Source organism: Homo sapiens, chromosome 21, assembly GCF_000001405.40.
Source record: "Homo sapiens chromosome 21, GRCh38.p14 Primary Assembly".
In the NCBI taxonomy this organism is placed as follows: Eukaryota; Metazoa; Chordata; class Mammalia; order Primates; family Hominidae; genus Homo; species Homo sapiens.
Genome location: NC_000021.9, coordinates 45,605,715 through 45,617,539, shown reverse-complemented (window position 1 = coordinate 45,617,539; position 11,825 = coordinate 45,605,715). Strand labels below are relative to the sequence as shown.

General features: G+C 52.3%; 1 long non-coding RNA gene across 1 annotated transcript in view, besides 2 other annotated features; it reads left to right on the top strand.

Moving 5' to 3' along the window:
• Positions 1-1,742: 1,742 nt before the first annotated feature.
• LOC107985485 (uncharacterized) overlaps positions 1,743-11,825 on the top strand; it is a 32,664-nt gene continuing 22,581 nt past the window's right edge. Inside the window, exon 1 of the long non-coding RNA XR_001755092.2 lies at positions 1,743-1,941. This is a non-coding gene — a long non-coding RNA (uncharacterized LOC107985485). The remainder of the gene's footprint in view (positions 1,942-11,825) is intronic.
• Positions 5,228-5,729: an enhancer, noted in NCBI's record as "H3K4me1 hESC enhancer chr21:47031725-47032226 (GRCh37/hg19 assembly coordinates)". NCBI's record gives its function as "activates a minimal SCP1, AML or CMV promoter by ChIP-STARR-seq in naive H9 embryonic stem cells {active_cell/tissue: H9 hESC(naive)}" and the evidence as "EXISTENCE:reporter gene assay evidence [ECO:0000049][PMID:30033119]".
• Positions 10,036-10,236: a silencer, noted in NCBI's record as "peak4426 fragment used in MPRA reporter construct". NCBI's record gives its function as "represses an SCP1 promoter by STARR-seq MPRAs in K562 erythroleukemia cells {active_cell/tissue: K562}" and the evidence as "EXISTENCE:reporter gene assay evidence [ECO:0000049][PMID:32103011]".

Sequence of the window (11,825 nt, the reverse complement as noted above, 5' to 3'; positions counted from 1 at the left end):
AGAGGCAGAGCAGAGCAGGGGAACAGGGAGAAAGGAGGAGAGGCCCGGGCAGAGGGAGTGGCTGCCCCAGGGCCTGCAGAAGCACCGCCTCTGCCATCGCTGCAGGCTTCTGCTTGTGGGAGGGTGAGGAGTAAGAGTGGGGCAGACCCTGCGGCTCCTTCCCATGGGTCAGGGTCACCAAGGCTGGTTCTCACAGCATTCTCTGCACTGCTGTGAGGCCTCATTAAGTGCCCTCATCTCTCATCCATATGGGGTGCCCCAGATGAGCACAGAATCCACAGGAGGACAAAGCCACGTCCTGGCCCTGGGGCTGCAGCGGGGAGTGGAGTGCGTGCAGACCCTGCTGGGGAGCCCACCCTGGGCTGATGCCCTGTGCAGAGGATGTGTGTGCATGTCCGCCCCCTGGTCCGCTGAGCTGATGGAGCAATGATTCTAGGAACACCAATGGTGGTCCAGAGCTCCATGTCCCCAGCAGCCACCTTCCTGGAGGAACCCACCCCCCGTGACCCACCCTCACTAGCCATGTCTGCAGGCCCTGATGGGAAAGGGCAGAGACCCCCGGGCCACTAGACATCAGGAGGGAGTGACCTGCCCAAGACCACACAGCCAGGATGATGCCTCGTGGGACATGGGTCTGGTTACCTCTGCCCAAGGCATTTTGCACCCATGTAGATAACTTACAGAAACCAAAACTCATTCTAAATACCAAAACTTTAATAACGTCTTAACCATTTAAAAATGTGATGTAAATATAGTTTAAATATTCAGCTTCTTTGAAGCCTCGTGACACTCAGCATCCTTTAAGGTGACCTGGCATGCACAGAAAACTGTGGGTAGGCGTGGATCTCGGCCGGGAGCCCGGCGGGGAGGGGCTGGTGGGAAACCGGGATCCTGTGTGGGAAAGGTGACGAGGGGGCATTTTCAGCAGAGACTTGGCTCCTCTGGGTGGGTGAGGCAGACGCGGGCTCCTGGGCAGCCTGTGGTGCATACGGTCAGTATGCGCAGGGCAGCCAGCTTATCCAGGACGAGGCAGCTGTTGGCTGGGGCACAGCTGCCATGTGGTCCTCACCACCCTCCGCCTGGCCTGGGACAGACTCGGCAGTGCAAGTCCTGAGGGGCAGAAGGGACTGGGGAGGCCAGCGGGGACGGGGTCTGCCGACTGGGGCTGCTGGGAGGTGGGGGATGTGCAGACCGTGTCATGAGAAATGCCAGACACGTGTGTTCTGCAGTGGTGCCCGTTAGTATGAGTAACTTTGGAATACACGCATTGTCCTCATTTCGGGACAGTGCAGGAGTGGGGTGACTGGGGGAGAGGCTCTGTTATGTCATTGTCCTCATTTCGGGACAGTGCAGGAGTGGGGTGACTGGGGGAGGCTCTGTGGTGTTCCATGAAGCTCCATGGCTTTCGCAAATCCGTGGAAGGTCTGCAGCCGTAGAGGTGGTGGTGGCGCTGTCTTTGTCTGCATTTTTTTTTTTTTTTGAGACAGACTCTCGCTCTGTCCCCCAGGCCGGAGTGCAGTGGTGCGATCTCGGCTCACTGCAAGCTCCGCCTCCCGGGTTCACGCCATTCTCCTGCCTCAGCCTCCCGAGTAGCTGGGACGACAGGTGCCTGCAACCACGCCCAGCTAATTTTTTGTATTTTTAGTAGAGACGGGGTTTCACCGTGTTAGCCAGGATGGTCTTGATCTCCTGACCTCGTGATCCGCCCGCCTCGGCCTTCCAAAGTGCTGGGATTACAGGCGTGAGCCACCGCGGCCGGCCTGTCTGCACTCTTTATTCTTTAACTTTCGTTACAGTGTTACATACAGAGAAGTGCACAGAGCAGAAGGGGATGGCTAGCAAGTTACCACAACGCCTGGCAGAGAAGCAGAACTCTGGACATCAACGAGCCCTCCTGGCGCCCCGCCCTGCCCCCCCGGGGCTGCTCTGTTTTTCATCTGGGTGAGTTTCCCACGCGTCGTTTCCTCTGCTCCCCACGCAGTGGTTACCTGCGTCACCGTCACCGAGTGCAGCTGCAGCCTGCTCGTTCCCACGCCTGCTTACTGTGTCATCTCTATTTATTTATCTCCCCTCTGCTGGTGAGCCTGTGGCTGTTCCCCGTTTTCCCACGTCTGAGCACACACGTGTGCACCTGTCTATGGTATGGACCTAGGACATGAATTGCTGGATCGGCACTGGTGGACGTGCTTGGCTTTAACGACGGGGGGCCAGGCAGCCCTCCAAGGAGGCAGAGCCAGTTCACATTCCCGCCCGCCGTCTGCTGGGGTCCTTGTCACTCCACATGGTCATCGACAATGTCATAGTTTAGCCATTCTGCCGCGTGGTGGCATCTGACTGAGATTTAACCTGTGTTTCCTTGGTGGGTCCTGAGGCTTTTCATCCTCTGACTTTTTAACACCCATTTGAATGTCCTCTTTGGTGAAGTTGGATGTGTCTGTCCCCTTTCCCACTGTGCTGTTTCCCTTCTGGATTTGCAGGACTTCTGTAAGACCTCCACGGCTGCACGTACTGCAAACACCACCCTGCACTCCGTGGTGTGTCTGTTCACTTTCTTTTCTTTTCTTTTCTTTTCTTTTTTTTTAATATTTTTGAGATAAAGTCTCGCTTTGTTGCCCAGGCTGGCGTGCAGTGGCATGATCTGGGCTCACTGCAGCCTCCGCCTCCCGGGTTCAAGTGATTTTTGTGCCTCAGCCTCCCAAGTAGCTGGGATTATAGGCATCCACCAAGACACCCGGCTAATGTTTGTATTTTAGTAGAGACGGGGTTTCACCATGTTGGCCAGGCTGGTCTCGAACTCCTAACCTCAGGTGATCCACCTGCCTCGGCCTCCCAAAGTGCTGGGATTACAGGCGTGAGCCACCACGCCCGGCCCCTGTTTACTTTCTTAATGGCATCCACTAGACAACAAAAGGTCTGAATTCTAACTTTACCAGTTTATCAATCTTTGCCTTTATGTTTGGTGTCGTTTGTGTATCTCAAGGTCATAACTATATTTTCTTAGAAAATTTTGTTTTGTCATCTGGGCACGGTGGCTCACGCCTGTAATCCCAGCACTTTGGGAGGCTGAGGCAGGCAGATCACAAAGTCAGGAGATCGAGACCATCCTGGCTAACATGGTGAAAACCCGCCTCTACTAAAAATACAAAAAATTAGCCGGGCGTGGTGGCGGGCGCCTGTAGTCCCAGCTACTGAGGAGGCTGAGGCAGGAGAATGGCATGAACCCGGGAGGTGGAGCTTGCAGTGAGCCCAGATCACGCCACTGCACTCCAGCCTGGGTGACACAGCAAGACTCCGTCTCAAAAGAAAATTTTGTTTTGTCTTTCACTTTGGATGCTGGGATGAAACAGGGATTTTATCAGTCGGCTTTTGCTGGATAATGAACCACCCCTCAACTCAGAGGTTTCAAACAACACGTGTCTGGGTGGGTCTGGCTCTCAGCTGGTCTCTGCGGATGGGCATTTGGCCAGAAGACTCAATGCCTCACTCAACTGTCCTTTGCTTCACTTTCATTTTTTCCACATATTCCCTCGAGGTGAGGGTGAGGAAACGTTTCCTTTTAGTTTATCCTGCGTGGTGTGTGTGGGGCTTCTGGAATCTCGGGTTTGGTATCAGTTTTACATAATCATCAGTCGTTACCTCTTTAAATATGTCTTCTGCTCATACTCTCATTCCTTCCCTTCCAGGACTCAAATCCCACATGTGAAACCTCCTGCTGTGGCTGGTGCCCTTTCTCTCTGTCACAGTTTCTAGTCTTTGTCTCTTGCATACTTTACCCCACTAACCTAAAGCACTTGCCTGTTACATGCATAATGTACAGTACCAGTTACGCTGACTGACCCATAGATATCCTGGCCCAGCCCCAGGGAAACTGCAGGACTTCAAACTGAGTTGAAAGGGAAGCCCCAGGTGGGGGTGCTGGCCAGGCCTCTGCCCAGCGGGGTCTGCCCATCTCAGCAGGCATGGTGTGCACCTTGTGTGACGTGGCACCCTCCTACACTCGGCCTGCCAGGCTGATGTGGAGTGTTCCTGGGGTTCTTCCTTCCTCACGGGTGGAGAGTAAACATGTCCACACAGGAGGAGCTCTGGTCCTCTCACTCTGTAGATCCTAACAGACACGCAGGCCCCCCAGTTGGACCTGGTCTCACTCTAGATCCTAACAGACACGCAGGCCCCCCAGCTGGACCTGGTCTCACTCTAGATCCCAACGGACACGCAGGCCACCCAGCTAGATCTGGTCTCACTCTAGATCCCAACAGACACACGGGCCCCCCAGCTGGACCTGGTCTTACTCTAGATCCTAACGGACACGGGCCCCCCAGCTGGACCTGGTCTCACTCTAGATCCTAACAGACACACAGACCACCCAGCTGGACCGGTCTCACTCTAGATCCTAACAGACACTCAGGCCCCCAGCTGGACCTGGTCTCACTCTAGATCCCAACGGACACGCAGGCCACCCAGCTAGATCTGGTCTCACTCTAGATCCCAACAGACACACGGGCCCCCCAGCTGGACCTGGTCTTACTCTAGATCCTAACGGACACGGGCCCCCCAGCTGGACCTGGTCTCACTCTAGATCCTAACAGACACACAGACCACCCAGCTGGACCGGTCTCACTCTAGATCCTAACAGACACGCAGGCCCCCAGCTGGACCTGGTCTCACTCTAGATCCTAACGGACATGCAGGCCCTGCAGCTGGACCTGGTGTCTTCTTCTCCAACATCCCATAGAAAGTGGTCTTGGGCTGGTGCCGAGGGAATCTGTGCGAATGAGTGAGGAAGAAAGTGCCTTCTCTCTGCTCTTCCTTGGAGCCCTTCTGGGAGAGCCCAGGGGTCTGGGACAGAAGCACAGCACCACTCCCTAAAAACCAAGCCATGCACCCAAACCCCAAAGCTTCCTGGGATTCCGAAGACTTCTGACTTACATCTCATTTTTGCCCTAGGAGGTTTTAGGAGGCAGCCTCTGCCAGACTGAGGGTGAGTCACTTCCAGGTTTATTTAAAGTCCGATGCTCCTAGTGTGAAATGTCCCCAGCTAATAACTGTCTGAGAAGAACTCGAATGTCATCTTCCTACGCTCTGTAAGCCTCAGATTCCCCCACACCCCCAGTCACCTGAAACGGCAACCTCAGGGCATCAGACGGCCGCTCTACCTTCCTGCTCAGAAGGGCAATGCGTCGTCCTGGCGCCGAGGCTGCTCCTGACAGGGATGCACATCTTGGGCCCGCTGCCCAGGAGCTGCTCTCCCCAGTGCTGCACAGTGACGTACTTGCCATTCCAGCACGAGCTCGCTCACTAACACCAGCTGCTTCTCCCCAGCTCTACACAAGAGCCTGCGACTCTCAGGAGAACACTGTGGCGATCTCGTATCGTTTTTGGAGTGAAGAGGCAGTGAGGCCGGCAGATGGACAGAGGGACGAGGTGAGCAGTGGACCATCACGAGGAGCCAAAGCTGGATGGAGAAACTAAACCCAAAGAGAGCAGACGGAAGGGAAAAGCAAAACGTGGACATCAGTGAGAGAGAGCAGACGTGCAATGGAGAAAGCCAACAACACTGAAACCCAGTTCTCTGAAATGATCAATAAAATTGATAAAGAAAACACAGAGGGGAAAAATGAGCAATGGCGGCTGCTTTCTCAGGAGAGGGGGGTGCAGACACCCGGCGGGTCTGACGGGCACCAGAAGGTTAAGACGAGGCTCTCATGAGCAATTTCATGCCAGATGAAAGCGCAAATTCTTTGAAAAGCATAACCTATCAAAATTGACACACAGATATAAAAACTCTGACATAGCTACTGCCATACTATATCCATTACAGAAATTTAATCTGTAATTAAACAGATTCCACAGAGAAAACTCCTGGCCCTGAGAAGTCACCGATGAGCTGCAGCAAACCCTTAAGGATGAAGAATGCATGCAGTGTTGCCCGTGTTCCCACAGAAAGCACCGTGATCGGAAATCCTAAACCCGGTTCCAGCAAATCAGACTCAGTGACATATGAAAAGGTAGCCGGGCGCGGTGGCTCACACCTGTCGTCCCAACACTTTGGGAGTCCAAGGCAGGATTGCTTGAGCCCAGGAGTTCAAGACCAGCCTAGGCAACACAGCAAGATCCCATCTCTACAAAAATGTTTACAATTTAGCCAGGTGTGGTGGCACGTACCTGCAGTCCCAGCTACTCGGGAGGATGAGTGGGAAGATCGCTTGAACCTGGGAGTTCAAGGCTGCAGTAAGCCATGATCTTGCCATTGCACTCCAGCCTGAGTGACAGAGCAAGACTCTGTCTCGAAGACAAATAAATAAATTAAATTAAAATTAAAAGGCCAAGACCAAGAAAATCTATCTCAGAAATGCAAGATTGTTTTGACATTCAAAAATCAATCAACGTCATTGGTAAAATAAAGAACAAAAACCATAGGATCAACTCAATGGATTCAGAAAAAACATTTTATAAAATTCAATTGGTTAACAATAAAAACTGTCAACAAACTGGAAGCAGGAGGTTCCCCAGTCTGGTGAAGGATATCCATGGAAAACCCTCAGTTAACGTCAGAACTTCATAGTGAAGACCCCCCGGCACTCGGCCACCTGCCTGGAGAGAGGAAGCATTTTCACTCAGTGCTGCTGCAATAACTGGGTGTCAATAGGGAAAATAAGGGACGTTGGCCCTTCTTTTGTGCTACACATGAAAGCTAATTTGAAGCAGGTCATAGATCCAAAGGGGATGGGGCACAAGGAGGCACAAACACGATGACACTTCTGCAGGAAACCACAGGACATGCCTCTGGACCAGGCACTGGTGAGGACTTCTTGGGCAGGTCTGAAAAATCCCACCGATGTACAATTAAACACTGACAAATTGGACTTTATAAAAATTAAAAGCAATTTCATGCAAGATGGAATAGACACATTTGGCCAGGCGCGGTGTCTCACACCTGTAATCCCAGCACTTTGGGAGATCTGCCCGAAGCGGGAAGATCATGCGGTCAGGAGTTCAAGACCAGCCTGGCCAACATGGTGAAAACCCGTCTCTACTAAAAATTCAAAATTAGCGGAGCATGGTGGCGCATGCCTGTAATCCCAGCTACTCGGGAGGCTGAGGCAAGAGAATTGCTTGAACCCAGGAGGCAGAGGTTGCAGTGAGCTGAGATTGTGCCATTGCCCTCCAGCCTGGGTGACAGAGTGAGACTCTGTCAAAAAAAAAAAAAAAAGAAGAAGAAGAAGAAGAAAAAAAAAAGAAAGAAAGAGATAAATTCCTTGAAAAACACAACCTACCAAAACTGACACAGCAAATATAAAAACTCTGAATATCTATGACAATACTATATCTACTACAAATTCATCAAGAGACACCGTCAAGACAATGAAAGAGCAAGCCAGAATCTGGTGAAGATGTTTGTAATACATTTATATGGCAGAGGATTTCTGTACAGATAGATAAAGAATTACAAATAATTAAGAAAGCAACAACCGAAGGAAGGTATTGACAGTGCCTTGAGCAGGTGCTTCACAGGAGAGGGTATCCGGGCAGCCCTAAGCATTGATAGTGCCTTGAGCAGGTGCTTCACAGGAGAGGGTATCTGGGCAGCCCTAAGCATTGACAGTGCCTTGAGCAGGTGCTTCACAAGAGGGGGTATCCGGGCAGTCCTAAAGCATTGACAGTGCCTTGAGCAGGTGCTTCACAGGAGGGGGTATCCGGGCAGTCCTAAATCGCTGACAGTGCCTTGAGCAGGTGCTTCACAGGAGGGGGTATCCGGGCAGCCCTAAATCGCTGACAGTGCCTTGAGCAGGTGCTTCACAGGAGGGGGTATCCGGGCAGCCCTAAAGCATTGACAGTGCCTTGAGCAGGTGCTTCACAGGAGAGGGTATCCAGGCAGCCCTAAAGCATTGACAGTGCCTTGAGCAGGTGCTTCACAGGAGAGGGTATCTGGGCAGTCCTAAGCATTGACTGTGCCTTGAGCAGGTGCTTCACAGGAGGGGGTATCCGGGCAGTCCTAAAGCATTGACAGTGCCTTGAGCAGGTGCTTCACAGGAGGGGGTATCCAGGCAGCCCTAAAGCATTGACAGTGCCTTGAGCAGGTGCTTCACAGGAGGGGGTATCCGGGCAGCCCTAAAGCATTGACAGTGCCTTGAGCAGGTGCTTCACAGGAGGGGGTATCCGGGCAGCCCTAAAGCATTGACAGTGCCTTGAGCAGGTGCTTCACAGGAGGGGGTATCCGGGCAGCCCTAAACATTGACAGTGCCTTGAACAGGTGCTTCACAGGAGGGGGTATCTGGGCAGCCCTAAACATTGACATGCCTTGAGCAGGTGCTTCACAGGAGGGGGTATCCGGGCAGCCCTAAACATTGACAGTGCCTTGAGCAGGTGCTTCACAGGAGGGGGTATCCGGGCAGCCCTAAACATTGACAGTGCCTTGAGCAGGTGCTTCACAGGAGGGGGTATCCGGGCAGCCCTAAACATTGACAGTGCCTTGAGCAGGTGCTTCACAGGAGAGGGTATCCGGGCAGTTCTAAGCATTGAACACGTGCACAGAATCAGCATTCATCAGAGGAATGCAAATTAACACCACAGTGAGATACCACCACACCCCCACCAGGATGACGAACATTAAAAAGACTGACAATACCAAGCGTCAGCCGGCGAGGACGGGGAGCAGTAGGAAGTTCTGTATGTTGCTGTGGGAGTGTGAACGGTACAATCACTTTGAAAATCATTTTGACAATTTCTAATAAAGCTAAACGTATGTCCACCCTATGGCCCAGCAATGCTCCTTCTAGGTGTGTGCCCAAGAGATGGAGGCATCTGTCCACAACAAGTCTTGAGTCTTCACAGGATCCTGGTGCATTACACCCCGAACTGGAAACAGTGCCAGCATTTAGCAAGAGGAGAATGGATACGCAAATCAGGGTCCACGCAAATCAGGGTCCACGCACGGGGTGGGGTACAACCCGGGGGAAAGGGAAAGAGTACTGTGGTAGGCACAAACACTGTCCAAGTCTCAAAGCTCAGATGGAGTGGAACAGTCAGATTCTATAGCACAGGACACACCGAGGGACTCCAGTTTATTCGACGCTTGAGAAAGGAAAAACGAATCGCCAAGCTAGAAATCAGGCTGTGAGTGTCTGGTAGGGGTAGGGTGGGGAACCGTTGCCTGGGAAGGGGCAGGAGGGGACTTCCTGGGAGATGGAAATGCTCCATATTTTGCTCAGGGGGTCAGTCACATGAGCGCATATATGTGTGAGCTCTACTGTGCTGTAAAGTTACAATGGATGCATTTTACTGCCTGTAAACTGCACCTTAACATAAAATAAAGCAAGCACCCCTCAAAGTCCAAACTAACATGCACAAGTATATAAGCAACCTGCGGTGCGTGGGTCGGAGCGGAGCTGCCCGGGGCGCAGCGGAGCACGGCTCACGCAGGCACTGCGAGGCTGCAGCTGCCGCGGGAACGCCCGCCACCCACCCTGAAGTCAAGTAGGACACGGTGATTTCTCCTAATTTGAGAATAGCAGGGATAGCTGCGGCTCGGACTTTGATTTCTCCCTGAGGCATTAATAATGGAAAAGGCTCATCATGTTCGGTGTGGAGTATTTTTAAACGGTTGGCATTTCGTAAGTGAATTCTCTTTACTCTGACTTTTCCATTGTCTTCTGTTTTTTCCTCCAGCTTCAGTGAGGCATAATTGATACACAATTACATGTAGTTAAAGCTGCCCGTGTTTAAAGTGCACAGCGTGTTGAGTTTTGACACGACACCCGAACCCATCTCTGTGGCTCTCAGCGTTCCCTCCCACCTCTCGTGGTCCCTCCCTCCCCTCTCTCCTCCCCCTTCCTTCCCCTCCCCTCCCTCCTCCCCTCCCTCTGTCCTCCCTTTCTCATCCCTCCTCCCCTCCCTCCTCCCTTTCTCCTCCATTTTCCCCTCCCTCCTCCCTTTCACCTCCCTTCTCCCCTCCCTCCTCCCCTCCCTCCTGCCTCTGTCCTCTCCTCCCTCTGTCCTCTCCTTCCTCCCTCCTACCTGTCCTGCATCTACAGCAAGCGCAGGTCTGCTTCCTGCCACTGTTGGTGAGTTTGCTGTAGGATTCTGGATACACGGGATTATACTGTGTAGACTTTTTCATCTGACATCTTTCGTTTGGCAGAATTATCCTGAAGTCCACACGTCAGTACTTCCTCCCTTTTTGTTGCTGAGTGCTACAGTCATGCGTCACTTAACGACAGGGAGACTTTCTGAGAGATGCATCGGTAGGCGGTTTTGCTGTTGTGAGAACATCAGAGGTGACTCACACACACCAAGACGGTAGAATCTGTGAGACACCTAGGCCATGCTGTGCAGCGTATCACTCCTGGGCTGCAGACCTGTACAGTCTGTGACTGCACTGAATACTGCAGGCGACGAACACAGTGGCATTTGTGTATCTAAACGCCCGTGCAGCATGTGACTGCACTGAATACTGCAGGCCACTGTAACGTGGTGGCATTTGTGTATCTAAACACCCGTGCAGCGTGTGACTGCACTGAATACCGCAGGCGACTGTAACGCAGTGCCACTTGTGTATCTAAACGCCCGTGCAGCGTGTGACTGCACTGAATACTGCAGGTGCCTGTAACACGATGGCATTTGTGTATCTAAACGCCCGTGCAGCGTGTGACTGCACTGAATACTGCAGGCAACTGTAACGCGGTGGCATTTGTGTAAACGCCCGTGCAGCATGTGACTGCACTGAATACTGCAGGCGACTGTGACGCCATGGCATTTGTGTAGCTAAACGCCCGTGCAGAGTGTGACTGCACTGAATACTCCAGGCGACTGTAACGGGGTGGCATTTGTGTAGCTAAATGCCCGTGCAGAGCGTGACTGCACTGAATACTGCAGGCGACTGTGACGCCGTGGCATTTGTGTAGCTAAACGCCCGTGCAGAGTGTGACTGCACTGAATACTCCAGGCGACTGTAACGGGGTGGCATTTGTGTATCTAAACACCCGTGCAGCGTGTGACTGCACTGAATACTGCAGGCGACTGTAACGCGGTGGCATTTGTGTAGCCAGACGCCCGTGCAGCGTGTGACTGCACTGAATACCGCAGGCAACCGTAACGCGGTGGCATTTGTGTAGCGAAACGCCTGTGCAGCATGTGACTGCACTGAATACTGCAGGCGACTGTAACGCGGTGGCATTTGTGTATCTAAACGCCCGTGCAGAGTGTGACTGCACTGAATACTGCAGGCGACTGTAACGCGGTGGCATTTGTGTAGCTAAACGCCCATGCAGCGTGGGACTGCACTGAATACTGCAGGCCACTGTAATGCGGTGGCACTTGTGTATCTAAACGCCCGTGCAGAGTGTGACTGCACTGAATACCGCAGGCGACTGTAACGTGATGGCATTTGTGTATCTAAACGCCCGTGCAGCGTGTGACTGCACTGAATACTGCAGGCGAGTGTAACACAGTGGCATTTGTGTGTCTAAACATAGAAAAGGTACAGTAAAAATATGGAATAAAAGAAAAAAGTAGGGAGTAGTGACATCAGTGAAACAGCTGACTGGAAGCCCCCAGCACTGGTGTCCCTCACAAAGACCCAGAACAGTAAACAAGCCAGGAAATGGTTTTTTTTGTTTTTTTGAGATGGTGTTTCATTCTTATTGCCCAGACCAGAGTGCAATGGTGTAATCTCAGCTTACTGTAGTCTGTACCTCCCAGGTTCAAGTGATTCTCATGCCTCAGCCTCCCAAGTAGCTGGGATTACAGGCGCCTGCCACCATGCCTGGCTAGTTTTTTTGTTTTTTTTTTTTTGTTAGTAGGGACGGGGTTTCACCATGTTGGCCCGG